This window comes from Homo sapiens, chromosome 3, assembly GCF_000001405.40.
Source record: "Homo sapiens chromosome 3, GRCh38.p14 Primary Assembly".
In the NCBI taxonomy this organism is placed as follows: Eukaryota; Metazoa; Chordata; class Mammalia; order Primates; family Hominidae; genus Homo; species Homo sapiens.
Window position 1 is genome coordinate 21980194 of NC_000003.12, and position 25021 is coordinate 22005214.

Consider the following 25021-nt stretch of genomic DNA (forward strand, 5'->3'; position numbering starts at 1 on the left):
ATGTGAATGAGCTACCTTGTAAGTAGATCCTCCAGCCCCAGTCAAGCTTTCAGTTAATTCAGCACTGTCCAATAACTTAACGGTAACTTCACAAGAAACCGTGAACTAGAACAACTCAGCTAAGTCGCTTTTGAATTCCTGACTCATGGAAACTGTGACATAAATTTTGGTTGTTTTAAGCCACTAAATTTTGGGGAGATTTATTACATAAAAGTAGATAATAATGCAACGTAATAATGTAGATAATGAGTAATAGTAGCATTGAAGTGAAAAACAGTGTCATATGAACTTATAAAACACAACAACTCTTGGAATGAACCACATGAAATTGCTGATTTTGTAGATCACATATCAGCCATATGGTTCAACCTTCCTTTTAAACTTTTATTTTAGATTTGGGGGCCCATATGAAAATTTTGTTACATAAACACATGTCCCAGGGGTTTGTTGTACACACTATTTCGTCATCCAGCTATTAAGCCCAGTATCCAATAGTTATCTTTGCTGTTCCTATCCCTCCTCTTTCTTCCAACCTCAACCAGACCACAGTGTCTGTTGTTTCCTTCTTTGTGTTCATAAGTTCTTATCATTTGGCTCCCACTTATAAGTGAGAACATGTAATATTTGGTTTTCTGTTCTTGAGTTAGTTTGCTAAGGATAATAGCCTCCAGTTCCATCTATATTCCTGCAAAAGAGATGATCTAATTCTTTTTTTATGGTTGCATAGCATTCCATGGTATATATGTACCACATTTTCTTTATCCAATCTGTCTTTAGTAGGCATTTAGTTTGATTCCATGTCTTTGCTATTGTGAATAGTGCTGTACTGAACATTCACGTGCATGTGTCTTTATGGTAGAATAATTTCTAGTCCTCTGGGTATATACATAATAATAGGACTGCTGGGTTGAATGATAGTTGTACTTTTAGCTCACTGAGGAATCACTATGCTGCTTTCCACAATGGTTGAAGTAATTTACACTCCTACCAACAGTGTATAAATGTTCCCATTTTTCTGCAACCTCACAAGCATCTGTTACTTTTTCACTTTTTAATAAAAGCTATTCTGACTGGTATAAGATGGTAACTCATTGTGGTTTTGATTTGCATTTCTCTAATGATCAGTGATATAGAGATTTTTTTCAATATGCTTGGATGGCTGCCTGCATGTCTTCTTTTGAGAAGTGTCTGTTCATGACTGAACACTTTTAAATGAGGCTATTTGTTTTTCTCTTGCGAATTTTTAAGTTCCTTATAGATGCTGGATGTTACACCTTTGTCAGATGCATAGTTGGCAAAAATTTCCTCTCATTCCGTAGGTTGTTTATCCTGTTGATAATTTCTTTTGCTGTGCAGATGCTCTTAACAATTAATCAGATCCCACATTTCAACTTTTGCTTTTGTTGCAATTGCTTTTGGTGTCTTTGTCATAAAATCTTTGCCTGTTCCTATGTCCAGGGTGGTATTGCCTAGATTGTCTTCTAGGGTTTTTACAGTTTTCGGTTTTACATTTAAGTATTCAATTCATCTTGAGCTGATTTTTGTGTATGGTGTATGGAAGGAGTCCAGCTTCAATCTTCTGCTTATGGCTAGTCAGTTTTCCCAGCACCATTTATTGAATAAGAAGTCTTTTCACCATTACTTGTTTTTGTCAGCTTTGTTGACGATCAGATGTTCATAGATATGTGGCCTTATTTCTGGGCTTTCTATCCTTTTCCATTGGTTTACATGCCTGTTTTTGTACTAGTACCATGCTGTTTTTGTTACTGTACCCTTGTAGTATAGTTTGAAGTCAGGTAACATGATGCCTCCAGCTTTGTTCTTTGTGCTTAGGATCGCCTTGGCTATTTGGGCTCTTTTTTGGTTCCATTTGAATTTTAAAATAGTTTTTTTTTTTTTTTTTTAATTCTGTGAAGAACATCACTGGTAGTTTGATAGGAGTAGCCCTGAATTTGTAAATTGCTGTGGGCAGTATAGCCATTTTAATTATATTGATTCTTCCTATTCATGAGCGTGGGATTTTTCTTCCATTTGTTTGTGTCTTGTCTTATTTCTTTGAGCAATGTTTTGTAATTCCCATGGTAGAGATCTTGCACCTCCCTGGTTAGCTGTATTTCTAGGTTTTCTAGGTATTTTATTCTTTTATGGCAATTGTAAGTAGAATCGCCTTTCTGATTTGGCTCTTGGTTTGGCTGTTGTTGGTGTCTAGGAATGCTAAGTGAGTTTTGTGCATTGACTTTGTATCCTCTAACTTTGCTGAAGTTGTTTATCAGTGGGAGGAGCTTTTGGGCTGAGACTATGAGGTTTTCTAGATATATAATCATGTTGTCTGCAAACAGAAATAGTTTGACTTCCTCTCTTCCTATTTGGAAGCCCTTTATTCCTTTCTCTTGCCTGTTTGCTCTGGTTAGGACATCCAATACTGTGTTGAACAAAAGTGGTGACAGACAGCATACTTGTCTTGAGCTGGTATTCAAGGGGAATACTGCTAGCTTTTGCCTATTCAGTATAACATTGACTGTGGATTTGTCATAGATGGCTCTTATTATTTTGAGGTATGTTTCTACTATACCTAGTTTATTTAGAGTTGTTAACATGAAGGGCTGTTGAATTTTATTGAAAGCCTTTTTTTTTGCATCTATTGAGATAATCATGTGGGTTTTTTTTGTCTTTAGTTCTGTTTTTGTGATGAATCACATTTATTGATTTGTGTATGTTGAACCAACTTGCCTTCTGGGGATGAAGCCTACTTGATCATAGCGGATTAGCTTTCTGATGTGCTGCTGAATTTGGTTTGCGAGTATTTTGCTGAAGATTTTTACATTGATGTTTATCAAGGATATTGGGCTGAAGTTTTCTTTTTTTGTTGTGTCTTTGCCAGGTTTGGGTATCAAGATGTTGTTGGCCTCATAGAATGAATTGGGGAGGAGTCCCTCCTCCTCAATTTTTTATTTTATTTTATTTTATTTTATTATTTTTTTTTATTATACTTTAAGTTTTAGGGTACATGTGCACATTGTGCAGGTTAGTTACATATGTATACATGTGCCATGCTGGTGCGCTGCACCCACTAACTCGTCATCTAGCATTAGGTATATCTCCCAATGCTATCCCTCCCCCCTCCCCCCACCACACCACAGTCCCCAGAGTGTGATATTCCCCTTCCTGTGTCCATGTGATCTCATTGTTCAATTCCCACCTATGAGTGAGAATATGCGGTGTTTGGTTTTTTGTTCTTGCGATAGTTTACTGAGAATGATGGTTTCCAATTTCATCCATGTCCCTACAAAGGACATGAACTCATCATTTTTTATGGCTGCATAGTATTCCATGGTGTATATGTGCCACATTTTCTTCATGCAGTCTATCATTGTTGGACATTTGGGTTGGTTCCAAGTCTTTGCTATTGTGAATAATGCCGCAATAAACATACGTGTGCATGTGTCTTTATAGCAGCATGATTTATAGTCATTTGGGTATATACCCAGTAATGGGATGGCTGGGTCAAATGGTATTTCTAGTTCTAGATCCCTGAGGAATCGCCACACTGACTTCCACAATGGTTGAACTAGTTTACAGTCCCACCAACAGTGTAAAAGTGTTCCTATTTCTCCACATCCTCTCCAGCACCTGTTGTTTCCTGACTTTTTAATGATTGCCATTCTAACTGGTGTGAGATGATATCTCATAGTGGTTTTGATTTGCATTTCCCTGATGGCCAGTGATGATGAGCATTTTTTCATGTGTTTTTTGGCTGCATAAATGTCTTCTTTTGAGAAGTGTCTGTTCATGTCCTTCGCCCACTTTTTGATGGGGTTGTTTGTTTTTTTCTTGTAAATTTATTTGAGTTCATTGTAGATTCTGGATATTAGCCCTTTGTCAGATGAGTAGGTTGCGAAAATTTTCTCCCATGTTGTAGGTTGCCTGTTCACTCTGATGGTAGTTTCTTTTGCTGTGCAGAAGCTCTTTAGTTTAATTAGATCCCATTTGTCAATTTTGGCTTTTGTTGCCATTGCTTTTGGTGTTTTGGACCTGAAGTCCTTGGCCACGCCTATGTCCTGAATGGTAATGCCTAGGGTTTCTTCTAGGGTTTTTATGGTTTTAGGTCTAACGTTTAAATCTTTAATCCATCTTGAATTGATTTTTGTATAAGGTGTAAGGAAGGGATCCAGTTTCAGCTTTCTACATATGGCTAGCCAGTTTTCCCAGCACCATTTATTAAATAGGGAATCCTTTCCCCATTGCTTGTTTTTCTCAGGTTTGTCAAAGATCAGATAGTTGTAGGTATACGGCGTTATTTCTGAGGGCTCTGTTCTGTTCCATTGATCTATATCTCTGTTTTGGTACCAGTACCATGCTGTTTTGGTTACTGTAGCCTTGTAGTATAGTTTGAAGTCAGGTAGTGTGATGCCTCCAGCTTTGTTCTTTTGGCTTAGGATTGACTTGGCGATGCGGGCTCTTTTTTGGTTCCATATGAACTTTAAAGTAGTTTTTTCCAATTCTGTGAAGAAAGTCATTGGTAGCTTGATGGGGATGGCATTGAATCTATAAATTACCTTGGGCAGTATGGCCATTTTCACGATATTGATTCTTCCTACCCATGAGCATGGAATGTTCTTCCATTTGTTTGTATCCTCTTTTATTTCCTTGAGCAGTGGTTTGTAGTTCTCCTTGAAGAGGTCCTTCACGTCCCTTGTAAGTTGGATTCCTAGGTATTTTATTGTCTTTGAAGCAATTGTGAATGGGAGTTCACTCATGATTTGGCTCTCTGTTTGTCTGTTTTTTGTGTATAAGAATGCCTGTGATTTTTGTACATTGATTTTGTATCCTGAGACTTTGCTGAAGTTGCTTATCAGCTTAAGGAGATTTTGGGCTGAGACAATGGGGTTTTCTAGATAAACAATCATGTCGTCTGCAAACAGGGACAATTTGACTTCCTCTTTTCCTAATTGAATACCCTTTATTTCCTTCTCCTGCCTGATTGCCCTGGCCAGAACTTCCAACACTATGTTGAATAGGAGTGGTGAGAGAGGGCATCCCTGTCTTGTTCCAGTTTTCAAAGGGAATGCTTCCAGTTTTTGCCCATTCAGTATGATATTGGCTGTGGGTTTGTCATAGATAGCTCTTATTATTTTGAAATACGTCCCATCAATACCTAATTTCTTGAGAGTTTTTAGCATGAAGGGTTGTTGAATTTTGTCAAAGGCTTTTTCTGCATCTATTGAGATAATCATGTGGTTTTTGTCTTTGGCTCTGTTTATATGCTGGATCACATTTATTGATTTGCATATATTGAACCAGCCTTGCATCCCAGGGATGAAGCCCACTTGATCATGGTGGATAAGCTTTTTGATGTGCTGCTGGATTCAGTTTGCCAGTATTTTATTGAGGATTTTTGCATCAATGTTCATCAAGGGTATTGGTCTAAAATTCTCTTTTTTGGTTGTGTCTCTGCCTGGCTTTGGTATCAGGATGATGCTGGCCTCATAAAATGAGTTAGGGAGGATTCCCTCTTTTTCTATTGATTGGAATAGTTTCAGAAGGAATGGTACCAGTTCCTCCTTGTACCTCTGGTAGAATTCGGCTGTGAATCCATCTGGTCCTGGACTCTTTTTGGTTGGTAAACTATTGATTATTGCCACAATTTCAGCTCCTGTTATTGGTCTATTCAGAGATTCAACTTCTTCCTGGTTTAGTCTTGGGAGAGTGTATGTGTCGAGGAATGTATCCGTTTCTTCTAGATTTTCTAGTTTATTTGCGTAGAGGTGTTTGTAGTATTCTCTGATGGTAGTTTGTATTTCTGTGGGATTGGTGGTGATATCCCCTTTATCATTTTTTATTGTGTCTATTTGATTCTTCTCTCTTTTTTTCTTTATTAGTCTTCCTAGCAGTCTATCAATTTTGTTGATCCTTTCAAAAAACCAGCTCCTGGATTCATTGATTTTTTGAAGGGTTTTTTGTGTCTCTATTTCCTTCAGTTCTGCTCTGATTTTAGTTATTTCTTGCCTTCTGCTAGCTTTTGAATGTGTTTGCTCTTGCTTTTCTAGTTCTTTTAATTGTGATGTTAGGGTGTCAATTTTGGATCTTTCCTGCTTTCTCTTGTGGGCATTTAGTGCTATAAATTTCCCTCTACACACTGCTTTGAATGTGTCCCAGAGATTCTGGTATGTTGTGTCTTTGTTCTCGTTGGTTTCAAAGAACATCTTTATTTCTGCCTTCATTTTGTTATGTACCCAGTAGTCATTCAGGAGCAGGTTGTTCAGTTTCCATGTAGTTGAGCAGCTTTGAGTGAGATTCTTAATCCTGAGTTCTAGTTTGATTGCACTGTGGTCTGAGAGATAGTTTGTTATAATTTCTGTTCTTTTACATTTGCTGTGGAGAGCTTTACTTCCAACCATGTGGTCAATTTTGGAATAGGTGTGGTGTGGTGCTGAAAAAAATGTATATTCTGTTGATTTGGGGTGGAGAGTTCTGTAGATGTCTATTAGGTCCGCTTGGTGCAGAGCTGAGTTCAATTCCCGGGTATCCTTGTTGACTTTCTGTCTCGTTGATCTGTCTAATGTTGACAGTGGGGTGTTAAAGTCTCCCATTATTAATGTGTGGGAGTCTAAGTCTCTTTGTAGGTCACTCAGGACTTGCTTTATGAATCTGGGTGCTCCTGTATTGGGTGCATATATATTTAGGATAGTTAGCTCCTCTTGTTGAATTGATCCCTTTACCATTATGTAATGGCCTTCTTTGTCTCTTTTGATCTTTGTTGGTTTAAAGTCTGTTTTATCAGAGACTAGGATTGCAACCCCTGCCTTTTTTTGTTTTCCATTTGCTTGGTAGATCTTCCTCCATCCTTTTATTTTGAGCCTATGTATGTCTCTGCACGTGAGATGGGTTTCCTGAATACAGCACACTGATGGGTCTTGACTCTTTATCCAACTTGCCAGTCTGTGTCTTTTAATTGGAGAATTTAGTCCATTTACATTTAAAGTTAATACTGTTATGTGTGAATTTGATCCTGTCATTATGATGTTAGCTGGTGATTTTGCTCGTTAGTTGATGCAGTTTCTTCCTAGTCTCGATGGTCTTTACATTTTGGCATGATTTTGCAGTGGCTGGTACCGGTTGTTCCTTTCCATGTTTAGTGCTTCCTTCAGGAGCTCTTTTAGGGCAGGTCTGGTGGTGACAAAATCTCTCAGCATTTGCTTGTCTGTAAAGTATTTTATTTCTCCTTCACTTATGAAGCTTAGTTTGGCTGGATATGAAATTCTGGGTTGAAAATTCTTTTCTTTAAGAATGTTGAATATTGGCCCCCACTCTCTTCTGGCTTGTAGGGTTTCTGCCGAGAGATCCACTGTTAGTCTGATGGGCTTCCCTTTGAGGGTAACCCGACCTTTCTCTCTGGCTGCCCTTAACATTTTTTCCTTCATTTCAACTTTGGTGAATCTGACAATTATGTGTCTTGGAGTTGCTCTTCTCGAGGAGTATCTTTGTGGTGTTCTCTGTATTTCCTGAATCTGAACATTGGCCTGCCTTGCTAGGTTGGGGAAGTTCTCCTGGATAATATCCTGCAGAGTGTTTTCCAAGTTGGTTCCATTCTCCCCATCACTTTCAGGTACACCAATCAGACGTAGATTTGGTCTTTTCACATAGTCCCATACTTCTTGGAGGCTTTGCTCATTTCTTTTTATTCTTTTTTCTCTAAACTTCCCTTCTCACTTCATTTCATTCATTTCATCTTCCATTGCTGATACCCTTTCTTCCAGTTGATTGCATTGGCTCCTGAAGCTTCTGCATTCTTCACGTAGTTCTCGAGCCTTGGTTTTCAGCTCCATCAGCTCCTTTAAGCACTTCTCTGTAGTGGTTATTCTAGTTATACATTCTTCTAAATTTTTTTCAAAGTTTTCAACTTCTTTGCCTTTGGTTTGAATGTCCTCCCGTAGCTCAGAGTCATTTGATCATCTGAAGCCTTCTTCTCTCAACTCGTCAAAATCATTCTCCATCCAGCTTTGTTCCGTTGCTGGTGAGGAACTGCGTTCCTTTGGAGGAGGAGAGGCGCTCTGCGTTTTAGAGTTTCCAGTTTTTCTGTTCTGTTTTTTCCCCATCTTTGTGGTTTTATCTACTTTTGGTCTTTGATGATGGTGATGTACAGATGGGTTTTCGGTGTGGATGTCCTTTCTGTTTGTTAGTTTTCCTTCTAACAGACAGGACCCTCAGCTGCAGGTCTGTTGGAATACCCTGCCGTGTGAGGTGTCAGTGTGCCCCTGCTGGGGGGTGCCTCCCAGTTAGGCTGCTCGGGGGTCAGGGGTCAGGGACCCACTTGAGGAGGCAGTCTGCCCGTTCTCAGATCTCCAGCTGCATGCTGGGAGAACCACTGCTCTGTTCAGAGCTGTCAGACAGGGACATTTAAGTCTGCAGAGGTTACTGCTGTCTTTTTGTTTGTCTGTGCCCTGCCCGCAGAGGTGGAGCCTACAGAGGCAGGCAGGCCTCCTTGAGCTGTGGTGGGCTCCACCCAGTTGGAGCTTCCTGGCTGCTTTGTTTACCTAAGCAAGCCTGGGCAATGGCGGGCGCCCCTCCCCCAGCCTCGCTGCCGCTTTGCAGTTTGATCTCAGACTGCTGTGCTAGCAATCAGCGAGACTCCGTGGGCGTAGGACCCTCCGAGCCAGGTGTGGGATATACTCTCGTGGTGCGCCGTTTTTTAAGCCGGTCTGAAAAGTGCAATATTCGGGTGGGAGTGACCCGATTTTCCAGGTGCGTCCATCACCCCTTTCTTTGACTTGGACCCCTTGCGCTTCCCAGGTGAGGCAATGCCTCGCCCTGCTTCGGCTCGCGCACGGTGCGCGCACCCACTGGCCTGTGCCCACTGTCTGGCACTCCCTAGTGAGATGAACCCGGTACCTCAGATGGAAATGCAGAAATCACCCGTCTTCTGCGTCGCTCACGCTGGGAGCTGTAGACCGGAGCTGTTCCTATTCGGCCATCTTGGCTCCTCCGACCCCATCTCCCTCAATTTTTTAGAATAGTTTCTGTAGGAATGGTCGTGGTTTAACCTTACATATCAAAGCTCAACCAACTTGTTTCTTACAACTACAATTTTTTAAAATTGTAGTTATAATAAACTGGTTTGGACTGGACTTTGGTCTCCTAGGATGCATTTCTGGAATATGTTCATTATTTTCCAAATTTGCCATTCTCCAAATTACGTAGGAATACAGTTATGATTTTCTGACACAATGCACTGATGCAACAGTCGGAAACTAATTATTTGTGGATTATGGATCGGTTTAGACATGTAAAAGACAATTATTAGCAAATAATTATCATTCTCTCAAAAGGTATGTCAGTTTTGGACTTGGAACAAATATTTGAATAAATGATGAAATAGGCTTTAAATGTCTTACACAATACTAAATACCAAAAGCTATTTTATTCTTATCCTTGGAAACACTGGATGCATGTTCTTATGACATCATGTTTTCTTTCCACAATAATAATAAAAAAAAAAGGACAGCCAAACCATCCAGTCTTGTAAGTATGTAATTACCTTTGAATGTTCTCCTCATCTAAGCGCATTAAAATGCTTCAACTGACCCAGGTTACACAAAATTATATTCTTGATAACTTACTATCTTTTTTGGCACAAGCTGTGCCACTTTCACATGTCTGTTGATGGTATATGTCAAGCCGTTGAGTGAGAATTTCTTTCTGTTTCTAATCTCCCTGGAGCTTTCACATGTGTGCCTGATTTCACACAAAGATTTATGTGTAACATTTCCAGCACCCAAACACAACAATTTCCACCTATCTGTTTTATTTTAGCTTTAAAGACAAATATTAAATGGGAAATAATTTTTAAAAGGTACATTTTACCCTGACTCCAAATGCAAGATTCTGCTATTGTTTCACAGGGCCTTTGTCAAATTATCTTTTAAAAAAATTTTTGTGAGGCTATGTCAGATCTGAGCAATGATTATAGGATGCTTATTTTCTTTGAAAAGAAGAATCTCTAAGCTAAAATTCCAGATTTGCCAGTGCAATTGCACTGTCATCTTAGGGGTTTATTGGCACTGGCATAAATGTAATACTTTCTTCTTCTCATGATGACATCTAGCAAAGCCTTGGTCAACATCAGTAGTTATTTGGGAGCAAAAAGGAACTCTTCACAAATCCAAAGTTAGAAATCACTCTCCATTTTCTATCTTACCAGGCTATGAACTTACCTAACTTCCTAGCAAGAGCTCATAATATTGCCTGTGCCTTTATCAGGGTGATAAGGTTAGAAAAGATCATTGTTTCCATTTCTGCTCATTTCTATTGCTTAAAATTACTTTTATGAGTTAATATGTATTTCTATTATATAAATATGCAATTATCAGTAATTATATTTGTACTTAATATATGATGTATGTGCTATAAATTATAACTTTCTCTAAATAATAACTCTATCTGGCACAGGGATACTAGAATATATAAAGTTATCAATTAACTCTAATTTAGTTACAGAAATCTTGAGTCTTTCCCTCACTTTCTTTTTAGAGAGCTCAGCCTGTTTCTACAACATCTACAGAAAAACTGTATGAGCTGAAACACTTATTGCTAACTCAGATGGGAAAATTCTGAACTTCTTTAACTATTGAAAACTGTATAGCTTGGATTTCCTTTGAAAACAGAATGCTACATGTGAGGACAACAAATCTTCTGGCAATAACTCACATTTAACAGGTTGATACAGCGGATCTATCTTTCTAAACAACAAATGCGTGATCTAATGGCAATACCAACAGTGCACTGTACCAAGAATTAGAATGGTATATCAAAGCTTCTAATTTGCAGTGGTTTGTTACGGAGGTATAATTATCTATTTAAAATGTAAAATTCCTTGTACAAAAATATTTGAATAATTATGAAAATGTAAGTAATCATTTGCAAAAACTAATTACGGTGAGGGAGACTTTCCTTTGCTGTCAGTGTTTTATGCATGTGTTTGGTTCCATAAGCAAACTAATTAAAATGTTGCAAGACACACTGAAATGCTGGCATTTTAGATGGAAAGCAGTTGTACTTCTGGCAAAGATCGTTTCATGTTTCTAAGGGATTTTAAAATTGTAGTTATAATAAACTATTCAGTCAAGCAAACCTAAAACAAGAGCCAAAATCATGCTCTCAGCTTTCAGATCTATAGCCACATGCCACCACAAAGCCGTGAATTTTCTAAGTATAAACTGGAAATAAATCACATTTGTTTTGTTAGCAAACATTTGGGGTATGTATGTGTGTATTTGATAAAACTGTGGTAATTATGCAGCTAAAATAAGAAAAAACAATTTGGAAGTCATCTTAATATTTTGTGTTATTCCCATCATTTAGAAATCGTTGGTCAAATGGTGGGCAAAATGTTCCACCACAAATAAGAATGCTCTAGCACGACAGCTAATAAGACAAAGAACTGTATTATGGCACGTCTTCAACAGTAAATACTTGTCCTAAGAGCCTAGGAGGTAAAGGGCAGCTGCAGAATGATTATCAGGATTGCTTCATGGTCCAGATTGCATTTGGAACTTGAAATGTCCATCCTCTTCACTGTTGGGTCAGTCAGTCATGCTTTGGGCAAGATTTATTGAGGTTGTCACTTTTACTAGTCACAGTGGTAAGAAGTAGAATTTCAGTGATATATGAGTGAGTTATAGTGCATGCCTGCATGGATTTTACACTCCAATCTTTTTAAAAGACAGTATTTTGATGAATTATGCACTCCATGGCCAGACCACCTGGGCTTAAATCTTGGCTTATCTACTATCTGTGTGAATTTAGGCTAGCTAACTATTCTCTTTAGCATGCTCATCTCTGGAATGAGAATAACAGTCCTGCCTTATGTAGTTGCTGTGAGAATTAAATGAGTTAAGCTATGTGTAAATGTATAATGCCCAGCAATCAGTACATTATATTGTTATTAGCTACCATTTTTACCTCCACTCTAACCAAGCAATACCATAAATATTGCCAAACAGACAACATAATATCTAATTTCACAGAATATAGATATCCAGTAGAAGTCAAAGATCAGAAAAGCCCCTAGAAGGTATCTAGTAGCTGCAGGTATCTGAAAGCCTTCACTATTTGTTCTGCAGGCAAAACATACAAACACACTCTAGCTATTATCTATGTTAAACAAGATAGAAGACATACAAATAATAGATGACAGCAGCTGGAGGAGGTAGAATAACCGTTTCTGTGAGTTAGAAGCAAAATAGCAGTTTCAAATTATATTATCATCATCCATCACAGCTATCATGTATTCAACTCTTCCCGTGGTGCAAGTTACTAAGCTCTTTAAATGTTATCCTAATTAACCCATTTTCCATAGGAAGAGGATGAAATAGTTTAAATCACTTTCTCAGGCTATGTTAATAGTTTGTGATGAAGATATGACAAGAAAAATCTCTCTGAAGCTAAAGTTCGCATTATTATACTATATTGCTATCCATGTAATATGATGAGCATGTTCCCAAGTCATTACATTTTCTTCACAAACATGTTTTACATAGCTTTAAAGTGTTCTAGTCTATGGCTGTTTCATAATTGATTTACTCTCTTCTGTCTTGTTAAATATTTATGTTGTTTCTAGTCCCTCAGATATTTTGAATTATTTGCAATAAAAATCTTCATGTGTAAATCTTAGTATGCATAGCTGATGAGTTTCTTAGTATAAACTCCAAGCAGTGAAGTCACCAGGCTAATGGATTTTAACATTTCTAATTACCAAATTGTACAAATCGTCAAATCACCCACAGGAGTAGTATAGGAATTTTCTCTCCTTTCAGAAATTTTTGAGCTTGCTCATTTAACTGCATCCTTGCCAATCCTGAATCTGATCTAAAAGTTTTCTTATCAACATGCCAGATACATAACTCTCCTGTAGATTTAATTTGTATTTCTATTTCCACTGTGGTACTTAGGGAAAAGATATCAGCTATGGAAAACAAAGCATGTGAATAATACTTTGACATTCATATCTGTCTCTGTCGGCCTCCTTCTTGCATGCAAATTTTGGTTTTCCCTTAACAGAATGTTACAAAACTCCAAGCCCAAGTTTAATTGTAACACTATTTGGGATGTTTCCTTGAGTTGTTTTAAAAAAGTTTCTTATCTTCTCTGATCTCTGCACATGCCATTTTGTGATAATTTACTTCACTGTGGTAAAATTATTGATTGTCTCTCTCTGGTCTCTCCTAAATAATAACCTACTGGAAAATGAATAATCTTATGATTATTCAAAAGTAGTGAAAAGTCTCATAAGCACATTTAACTATCACTTCCCACAAAAACATACTGATTCTGGATTTTAATCAATTTTTCACTGTTTGATTAAACTATGCATTAATTCATCATTAATAATGTAGTTGATTAGGTACTTTGGAACATTTTTAAAAAATGAATAAAAACATCTAGTGGAATTACTTTTTTCTAAAAGAGCTATATCATGAGAAAATGAAAATTAAGTTTTGCTGGGAATCACAATGCAATGTTCCTTCCTACTAATACAAAAACATTCCTGCAGATCATTTGAAGCAGAGAAAAAAAATTGCTTCCAATGGGACACTGTCAAGACCACATATAGCGTCCTTACTCATACATAATGTTTCAGTGTTTCTGCCATGGTTATACCACAGCTGAAAAATGAGTAACATCTCCTTTTTGTATAATTTCTGCTTTTTTCCAATGCCAAACCAAGCATTCATCATGTCCCCTCAATTAAGTTACTGGATTTTAAGGTGCCCAACTGCTAAGCTGCTCTGCCTCACCAGTACCTAATCTGGAGTTGGTTTCTCCTTTCCAAGACCCTTCTAAGAATCATTTAGCATAAGCCCAAACCTACACAAAGTCCCTTCACAAACTTTCTTACTGAGATCCTTCTAAATTCTCTTACTGGGATATGGTTTTCCTTGCTGCAGCAAGCTAAACAAACCAAACTTTGACTACAGGTGTGTTCCTGGACATCTGGTAGGCTTTGGTGTTAGTTGGGTCATTAAACACATAAGATCTACATACTGTTTTTACTTAAACAGCATTCATCAGCAAATTGGAGATATGATACAGGGAAAGTGATAAGTTGAGATTATGCCAAAGTGTTAATCCTGGAAAGTTTATCTATTGTACTTGTTAATTTTATTCACCGAATTCTTTAGTTCCAGAATTTATGGGTTTTAAAAATCATATCTATCTTTGTTGAATTTCTTATTCAGATAATGAATTGTTTTCCTGAATTATTTATGTTGTTTATCTGTATTCTATTGTATCTCACTGAGCTTTATTATGATCACCATTTTATATTTTTTTTTAGGCATTTCATAGATTTCTCTTTCATTGGAATCTATTGCTTGAGAATTATTGTGTTCCTTCAGAAATGTTATGTTAGCTTGCTTTTTCATGCTTCTTATGTCCTTACATTGATATCTGCATATCTGATATAAGTCACTTCTCCCAATTTTCTGGACTGGCTTTTACAGGGAAAGACTTCTTACTATAGATGTATCAATAGTGCTGATTGTGTAGGGTGCTTTGGCTTTGATTTTTGGATGGGCATGGTAGTGTAGTCTCAGTATGATTTCTTCAGCTGTAATATGCATCAATAGTGTCTATGATTTCCTAAGTTCCTTAGGCTGTAGTTGTTAGTGGAAGTGGTGGTAAGGCTTGGCTATGTATGGGTACTTTAGATCAGCTGGTCATTGGGCACTAGTGGCAACAGCAGTGGGCTGGGTGTGTAAACACTTGAGCCCTCAGATGGCATACATGTGCAGTGATGTTAGTGGGTCCAGGTAGGCCAATCCTCTTGCCTCCAGGCAACTTTCTTGGTGCCAGCAGTGACAGCAATGGGCCAAATAAGTGGATAGGTCGTCAGGCCCCTGGGCAGTGTGCATGACATCATTTATATCAGTAGCATCAATAAGCCAACCTTCAGGCCCCTAGGCAACAACACAGAGGTGCCAGCAGTGGCTTGGGCAGGCCAGACCTCAGGCCTCCAGGTAGCATATGTGGTAGGGGCCAATGGTATAGTTGTGTCAGGGTGGCCAAGAAGGCATGCATAGGTGCCAGTGGCAAAAGGCCATGTGGGTCAATTCCCAGGCCCCCATCAGTGCACAAAGGCACTGGTAAGGGAGCACCTGGTGGGGCAGGGCTGTCCTCAGGACCCCCGAGTGTGAACATGGGCACAGGCTACAGTGAGTGAGGCTAGTTTATCCCCAGGATCTCAGATGACATGCTTGGGCACTGGCAGGCTGAGCTGACCCATCTCCAGGCCCCCTGAAGGTATGCACAGGTGTAGGTGGCAGTGAGTGAGGTGGATCAATCCCCAGGTCGCTGGATGATGTGCATGAGTGCTGGTGGCAGTGATGAGTGGGCAGGTCTTTCTTCAGGTCCTCTAATGGTACATATGAGTGCCAGCTGTGGTGGGTGAGACAAGTCCATCCCCATACCCCCAAATGGCATTCTCAAGCAGTGGCGGTTACAGTGGTAGGCAGGAGTGGCTTGTCCTCAGCCCCCAGAATGGTGCCCAAGAGGACCATTCTCCAGATTGCCAGAAGGCACATTCAGGGGCAAGGAGCCCCTACTGCTAGTTGGTAGGGAGAGTTTGCTGTCAGTGTCAGCATCGCCAGGCAAGCAGAAGCTCTAGTGGGGATACACTTTGGTTCTCTTTGTCCTAGGGGCAGCTTTCCCAGTGTGCTACATTGTCTATACCTTGGGGTGTAGGATACTGTGTGGGCTAGAGTGCTGGGGACCTGGCTGCACCACTGAGTCTAGCTGACATCGTGATCCTGCAGCCCTTTGGGTGGACACAGGGGAATGTCAGCAAAGCTCAGGGATGTGCAGGTGCAGGGGCTATTGTGCCCCAGGGTAGGATATAATCTGGTGGGCTGGGCTCTCAAAATGGAGCTGTGCTATAGCTGCTTGGGACTCAGCGTGTGTATGGGACCCAGCACAAACTACCTCTCCAGAATAATGCCATCATGTGGACTCCCAGCAGCTTCCTATACTAGTCTCAGGGTCCACAAGCATCAAGGGACTCTTCCATGGTTGGGACGGCAGGAGTCAATGGTGGGAATGTGGACTGCTGGGTATACTTCATTTACCTTTTCCCTGCAGTGGAGTTTCTCCTGGCTCCAAGTGACCGTGACCAGGATGGCTGCTTTATTTCCTTCATTTTCCATGCCTCAGAGGCTCCCTGTCACTCCTCGGCTAAATTTCAGTGTTCTCTCTCAGATGATCTATCCAAAGTGTGGTTATCTACTTACTGTTTTGGTCCTTCTTTGTGGAAGAAATAAATGACGGGTGCCATCTAGTCACCTCTACTGAAACTCATATTTTGATAGAATAATCTATTATTCTATTAGTTTAATGAGTGAGCACTCACTGTCACACATTTATTTCTCACATATGTTTCAGCTTATGTTAGCATAGTTGTAGTTGTTCAGACTTCAACTTACATACATTTTTTTAAAATCACTTCTCATTCAAAAGTATTTTATATTGGAAAGTGTAATTTTCTTTGCCAAGAATAGGAACCCCCCTAAAACTTTTAAATACTATCTTAACCTTAGTTATGAAGATGTCTATTCCATCAAAGGGTAAGGAGGATTAGCACATTCATTCATATTTCTATTGGAAAAAGAGAAGCGATTAATTTATTGCTTCTCTGCCCGAGTGATTAAGCAATAACTTATTCTGGCATCCTTGTCAACTGATAGCAATTGAGTTTGTTTCCAAACGACAAATATAAATATAAACCAAATCTATTTTAGTTTTTTGAGAGATTAAACCAATGTTATTTAAACTTTATTTCTTAATGAAACCATCAAAGGAACAGTTTTAAAAAAAAACTGTGATTTTTTTTCAATAGCAAAGACTTGGAACCAACCCAAATGTCCATCAATGATAGACTGGATTAAGAAAATATGGCACATATAAACCATGGAATACTATGCAGCTGTAAAAAAGGGTGAGTTCATGCCCTTTGTAGGGACATGGATGAAGCTGGAAACCATCATTCTGAGCAAACTATTTCAAGGACAGAAAACCAAATACCACATGTTCTCACTCATAGGTGGGAATTGAACAATGAGAACACTTTGGACACAGGGTGGGGAACATCACACACTGGGGTCTGTCGTGTGGTGGGGGGATTGGGGAGGGATAGCATTAGGAGATATACCTAATGTAAATGACGAGTTAACGGGTGCAGCACACCAACATGGCACATGTATACATATGTAACAAATCTGCATGTTGTGCACATGTACCCTAGAACTTAAAGTATAATAATAATAAAAAAATGTGATTTTTAAAATCTACTTTCTTTAAATGTAACTATCTCTGCAGAAAAAAAAAACAGTATAATATGGAGAGGAAGTAGAGAGAAATGGAGGAAAAGAGAGAGAGAGTGTAAGTGTTTCATGTGTTTGCATATCATAGTTTATTTCTCTTTCACATTTCTCTCTTTCAAGTTATCAGATTTTGTTAACTTTAGATACCAAAAGGACCATTTAACTTGTTCTACTTTTTCAAGGAAATGGCAGATAATATTATAAAGTAGGAATGTGTTAATACAGGAATTCTTAACTCAAAGTCTCTGGATAGAATCTGAATCTGGTGGGGTTTTTTGTTGATGTTGCTATTTGGCGCGCGCGCGCGCGCGTGTGTGTGTGTGTGTGTGTGTGTGTGTGTGTGTGACAGAAAGAGAGAGAGAGAAATTAGGGGAGAAATTGAGATAGAAGATCAGTAAGACTTGTTTTGATAACCCTGCAGATCAAAACAGGATGTAGCAAAGAAACCAGCCAGCCAAAACCAGCCAGGACTATGAATTTTATTAATAATATATTTGCATGCTATATGCCACTCCCACCAGTGCCATGCCAATATACAAATGCCATGACGGTGCCTGGAAGTTACCTTATATGGTTCCAGGAACTTCCTACTCCTTTCCCAGAAAGTTAGTGAATAACCTACCCCTTATTTAGCATATAATTATGGGTAGGTATAAATGTAGCCAGGCAGCAATCCATGAGTGCTACTCTGCCTATGTGATAACTCTGCCCTGTCTATGGACTAGCCATTTTGCTGTGCACCGGTGCTCTAATACATTTGGTTTCTTTTACTGTTGGCTTGCTCTTGAATTCTTTCCTGACCAAAGCCAAGAACCCTCCCAAGCTGAGCCCTAATTTTGGGGTACACCTCCATCAAAATTCCATCTTTACTTTTAGTGTCACTATGAGAAATTCAGCATATCTTTCAATTATAAATGTAGACATCAGCCACAGGGCTGTTGGCAATTCCTATGACTTTCTCATCAATAAACATCATAGGAATTTCTTGTTGCAGATATCTTTAACTATTGTTTATACTTATCAGCACCTTGAAGTATCAGTTGTTACTAGCCCAGCCAAGAGATTTGTTATTAGTGTGTTAATAACAAGAACATATTTTGAACCTATGTTAATAAACAAGAACATCACCTTTTAAAAATATTTTGAGAATGGTATTTTAATGTAATCAGTTTTCTTTTTAATTATTTGTATTTCAATACTTCAGTTATTTAAAATTATCATTCTTAGAAGTGCATAGGCTTAAATAGACTGTCAAGGGAGTTTGTTGTAACATACGCACACACATAGACACAGACACACACATGCTCACATGCACATACTGAAGAGTTCTTGGATTAACTAGGAAAATTATATTAAAGCAGAAATTTTCTTTTGTGGTGCACACCCCTTAAAAAGTGATAAAGAGGTTATCAATTACTGGCATCCAATTGAGATAGTTTACTTGGTTTTCTCGGTTTAGCCTTTTTAAAAGGCTTTACTACACCTCCTAAGTCCTGTCTGCTTTTACCAGACGTACTCATTCCATATTTGATTTTAGCCATGTAGACATACAGCTATGCACATCAGTCAGGTTCACAGAACTGCAGCATTTCCTCTGAGGTTCTGTTGTTTTTATCAATAAAAAGCTAAGGGCATTACACTGCATTAAAATGTCAAATAGCAAGGATATTTCCTCAGGTTTTCACTGACAAACATATTCTATAAAGTTAGTTTGATGTCTTAACTGTTGCACCTATCTGAAAGGATACTTGAGACAAAACAAAAATTTTTTTTTTTTGCCTGTCACATCTGATGTTATAGACAACTTTGAATGCAATCTTAGTGTATGGGATGACAATATTTAATATTGCTTGTTTGATTTAAATGATTTGCGAGTAAAATTCTTCAAAATTAAGAGAAAAAAATCAGCCAACACCAACATTTTGGGGCTTTGTCTTTGTCAATATTCTCATCAAATTCTTTAACTTCACTGTATTATTCTCTTGAGAAGAATCTATGGTCAGACTAGTTTTCAAATATGGTTCTACTTCTCATTTTTGAACTTGGGACTTTAGCTACCACCTCTGACACTCAGTGTTCTTACACATTAAATGAGATTTATACTAGTAAGACTTATAGCAGTCCAACAGATAGCTTCAAAAATAGACTAGATTAAGCAGAAGAATTTCTAAACTTGAAAGTAGTTCTTGTAAAATACCCCAGTCAGGCAAAAAAAAAAAAAATAATAATAATGAAAAACAAAAAGTGATGAAGAAAAACTGTGTGATATATGGGACACCATAAAATGACCACATATTCTAATTCTGGGCATCACAGAAGGAGAAGAGATGGGTGAAGGCAAAGAGAAACTATTTTAAAAAATAATAGCTAACAAGTTCTCAAGTTTGGAAGAGATACACACATCCAGACACAAGAAGCTCAAAAATCCCCAAATAGATTCAATCCAAAAAGGTTTTATCTAGGCCGGGCATGGTGGCTCACGCCTGTAATTCCAGCACTTTGGGAGGCCGAGGCGGGCAGATCATGAGCTCAGGAGATCAAGACCATCCTGGCTAACACAGTGAAACCCCGTCTCTACTCAAAATACAAAAAATTAGCCTGGCGTGGTGGTGGCTGCCTGTAGTCCCAGCTACTAAGGAGGCTGAGGCAGGAGAATGGCTTGAACCCAGGAGGTGGAGCTTGCAGTGAGTGGAGATCATGCCACGGCACTCCAGCCTGGGTGACAGAGCGAGACTCCATCTCAAAAAAAAAAAGGCCTTATCTGAGGCACATTGTAGTTAAACCGTCAAAGTGACCTCTGGTCATCCTCACTGCTACACTCCTACCAGTGCCATGACAGTTTACAAATGCCATGGCAATGTCAGGAAGTTACCCTATATGGTCTAAAAAGGGGAGGCATGAATAATCCGCCCCTTGTTTAGTGTATCATCAAGAAATAATATGCCCATAAAAATGGGCAACCAACAGCCCTTGGGGGTTGCTCTGTCTATGGAATACCCATTATTTTATTCCTTTACTTTCTTAATAAACTTCCTTTCACTTTGAAAAAAAAATCAAAGACAAAGAGAGAATTCTAGAAACAGCAAGGGAAAAGCATCAAGTCAAATATGAAAGAACCTCCAACAGACTAATAGCAGATTAATAGCAGAAACCTTACAGGCCAGGAGAGAATGGGATAATAAATTCAAAGTTCTGAAAGAGGAAAAAAAAACCCGTTAATGAAGAATAATATACCTAGGAAATCTAACCTTGAAAAATTAAAAATGAGTCTTTCCCAGACAAGCAAAAACTGAGGGAATTCATTACAATTAGACCAGTCCTACAAGAAATATTTAAGGGAGTTTTTTTTTTTCTACATCAGGAAGTGTAAGGAAAATTATCTGCCATCATAAAAATATAAAATAAAATAAAATTCATTTGTAGAGCAAATAAACTAGTAAGATTAAGGAATCAAAGGTTACTGAATGTTATATAAAATCAATGAACTGCAATGAGAAACAGTAAGAGAGGAAAAAAGGAACAAAAGACATACAAAATAACCAGAAAGCAATTAACAAAAGGATAGGAATAAGTCCTCACCTACCAATAATCGTCTTGAATATAAACAGACTAAATTCCCTACTTAAAAGATATAGATTAGCTGAAAGGATTTTTTTTAAGCAATAATATGCTGCCTACAAGAAACTCACTTCACTGGTAGACACATATGGACTGAAAGTGAAGAGATGGAAAAAGATATTCCATGCAAATGGAAACCAAAAACAAGCAGGAGATACTAGTATCAGATAAAACAAACTTTAAGTCAAAAACAGTAAAAAGAGACAAAGAAAGTCATTATATAATAATAAAGAGATCAATTCATCAAGAAGATATAACAATTGTAAATATGTGTGTACTCAATACCAAAGCAGCCAGATATATAAAACAAATATTACTGGATATAAAGAGAGAAATAGAGTCCAATTTCAATTTTAGTTGGGTACTTCAATACTCCACTCTCAGCACTAGACAGAAAATCAACAAAGAAACACTGGATTTAAACTGCACATTACACCAAATGGATCTAACAGACATTTACAGAACATTTCATCCAGCAGCTGCAGAATACACATTCTTCTCATTAGCATAGGAAACATTCTTTAGGATAAACCATATGTTAGGCCACAAAATAAGTCTCAATTAAAAAAAAATCTAAATCCTATAAAGTATTTTTTCAGACCACATTAGAAAACAAAGGCCACCTGAAAACTATATAAATGAAAATTAAACATATTCCTGAATGACTACTGTATCAAAAAAGAAATTTTTAAAAATTGAAAAAATTATTGAAACAAATTAAAATGGAAATATAACATACTAAATCCTATGCAATACAACAAAAGCAGTAAGAGGGAAGTTTATCACAATAAATGGCTATATCAAAGAAGTAGATTTCAAATAAACAAACTTGTAACAATATAGCTCAAGGTACTAGAAAAACAAGAGCAAACCAAACTCAAAATTAGGAAAAGGAAATAAATAATACAAATTAGAGCAGAACTAAACAAAATAAAGACTTAAAAAAAAACACACACAAAGATTAGTGAAATGAAAAGTTGATTTTCAGAAAAGATAAATAAAATTAATGCACTATTAGCTCAACTAACCAATACCAAAAAAGACCCAAATCAATAAAATCAAAATTAAAAAAAAGAGTCATTACAACTGATATCACAGAAATACGAAGAAACATTAGAGGATATGATGAACAAGTATATGCTAACAAATTGGAAAACCTAGAGCAAACAGATAAATTCCCAGACTCACACAACCTACCACAACTGAAGCAGGAATGAACAAACTAATAACAAGAAGCAAGATTGAATTGGTAGTAAAAAGTCTTCCAGAAAAGAAAATCCTAGGACTTAACAGCTTTACCACTGAACTCTACCAAACTGTTAAATAAGAACTAACAAAAACTCTTCTCTATCTATTCCAAAAATTGAAGAGAAGGGAATTCTTTCTAACTCATTTTATGAGGCCAGCAGTATTCTGACACCAAAACCAGACAAGGGCACAACAACAACTACTACAACCCTCAAATTCTGCACATCAATATCCTTAATGAACACAGACACAAAAATCTTCAGGAAAATACTAGCAAACTGAATTCAACAACACTTCAAAAGATAATACACCAGGATCAAGTGGTATTTATCCTAGGGTTGCAAGATTTGTTCAACATACACAAATAAAGAAACATGATACATTACATTAACAAAATGAAGAACAAAGCCAATGATTATCTCAATAGATGTAGAAAAATTCAACATCCCTTCATGATAAAACATCTCAACAAATTAGGCACACAAGAAACATATCTCAAAATAATAAAGGTCATATATGACTAACTAACAGCTAATATCATGCTGAATGGGGAAAAGCTGGAAGCCTTTTCTCTAAGAACTAGAATAAGAAAAGGATGCCCACTCTTACCACTCTTACTCAGCATGGTACTGGAAGTCCTAGCCAGAGCAATCAGTCAAGATAAAGAAATAAAAGGCATTCAGATTGGAAAAGAAGTCAAATTGTCCTTCTTCGCAGATGACATAATATTACATATTAAAAACAAAACCTAAATATTCCACCCCAATCTCTTAGAACTGACAAAAGAATTCAGCTAACTTGCAGGATACAAAAATCAACATACAGAAATCAATAGCTTTTCTATGTATCAATAATGAACTAGCCAAAACAGATATCAAGACCACAATTTCATTTACAATAGCTGCAAAAAAAGCATAATTCCTGTGAATAAATTTAATCAGGAGGTAAAAGACCTCTACAAGGAAAGCAGCAAAACACTCATGAAAGAAATTAAAGAGGACACTAACAGATGGAAAGACATCTTATGCTCATGGATTGGTAGAATTATTATTTTTAAGAAAGACCATAGTACCAAAGGTATTCTCTATACTCAATGCAATCTTTTTCAAAATATCAATAATGTTTTTTACAGAAATGAAAAAAATACCTAAAATTTGGCCAGGTACAGTAGCTCACCCCTGTAATGTCAGCACTTTTGGAGGCCAAGGTGAGTGGATCACTTGAGGCCAGGTGTTCGAGACCAGCTGGGCCAACATGATGAAACCATGTCTCTACTAAAAATACAAAAATTAGCCAGGTATGGTGGCAGGCACCTGTAATCTCAGCTACTCAGGTGGCTGAGGCGGGAGAATTGCTTGAACCTAGGGGGCAGAGGCTGCAGTGAGCCAAGATTGCACCACTGCACTCCAGCCTGGGCAACAAAGCAAGACTCCATCCCCCCACCAAAAAAAAAAGAAAGAAAAAAAAATCCTAAAATTCAAATAGAACCACAAAAGACCCCAAATAGTCAAAGCAATCCTGAGTAAAAAAAAACAAAGCTGGAGGCATCATACTATCTGACTTTAAAATATACTATAAAGTTATAGTAACTAAAACAGTACAGTATGGTGTTGATATAAAAACCATATAACCAATGGAACAGAATATATAACCAAAGGAACAGAACCAATGACACATAAACCAATGGAACAGAAGAGAACCCAGAAATAAATCCACATATTTATAGCCAACTGACTTTTGACAAAGGCACTAAGAATACATGTTGGGGATAGGATACCGTCTTCAATAAATGGTACTGGGAAAGCTGGACATCCATAGGCAGAAGACCCCTATCTCTCAGCATATTCAAAAAATGACTCAAATTTAAATACTTAAATATAAGACTCAATACTATAAAATTAGAAAGAAAACATAGGGGAAATGCTGCAGGACATTGGTCTAAACAAAAGTATTATGGCCTAGACTTCAAAAGCACAAGCAACAAAAACAAAAATAGACAAATGAGATTATATTAAACTAAAAAGCTTTTGCACAGCAAGAGAAACAATCAACGGAGTAAAGAGACAACCTGTGGAATAGGAGAAAGTGTTTGCAAATTATTCATCTGACAAAAGGCTAATATTCAGAATACAAGCTGGGAGCTCCTTAGGGCAAACCTGCCTCCCATTCTATTCCTAGAAATGATAGCTGTAAAGATAAAAATGTTACATACCTCCCTCACAAGGAATTTCCTTGTGGACAAAGGACAGACAGAACTCAAAGTCATCCTTCTGCTCACTGAGATAAATGCATATCTCCTCCTTTGGAAAGGCTTATCAGAAACTCAAAAGAATGCAACCTTTTGTCCTTATCTACCTATTACCTGGAAGTCCCTTCACTGCTTTAAATTGTCCCACCTTTCAGGACTGAACAAATGTACATCTCACATATATTGATTGATGTCTCATGTCTCCCTAAAATGTGTAAAACCAAGCTGTGCCCTGACCACTTTGGGCACACGTCATCAGGACTTCCTGAGACTTTTCACAGATGGGTGTCCTTAGCTTTGGCAAAATAAACTTCCTAAATTGACTGAGACCTGCCTTAGATATTTGGGGTTAATACAAGGAACTCAAACCACTCAGCAGCAAAAAAAAAAAAAAAAAAAAAAAAAAAAGGCAGAAAAGCAGATAATCCCATTAAAAAGTGGGCAAAGAATATGAATAGACATTTCTCAAAAGAAGACATACAAATGGCCCACAGGTACATGAAAAAATGTTCAACATCACTATACACCACAGAAATAC

General features: G+C 37.8%; 1 protein-coding gene across 8 annotated transcripts in view, besides 1 other annotated feature; it reads right to left on the reverse strand.

Annotated features, from left to right (window-relative positions):
* The window catches only part of ZNF385D (zinc finger protein 385D), a 960546-nt gene that overhangs the window by 567976 nt on the left and 367549 nt on the right, over positions 1-25021 (reverse strand). The gene's annotated exons all lie outside the window — the stretch shown is intronic.
* Positions 8167-8744: an enhancer, noted in NCBI's record as "H3K27ac-H3K4me1 hESC enhancer chr3:22029852-22030429 (GRCh37/hg19 assembly coordinates)". NCBI's record gives its function as "activates a minimal SCP1, AML or CMV promoter by ChIP-STARR-seq in naive H9 embryonic stem cells {active_cell/tissue: H9 hESC(naive)}" and the evidence as "EXISTENCE:reporter gene assay evidence [ECO:0000049][PMID:30033119]".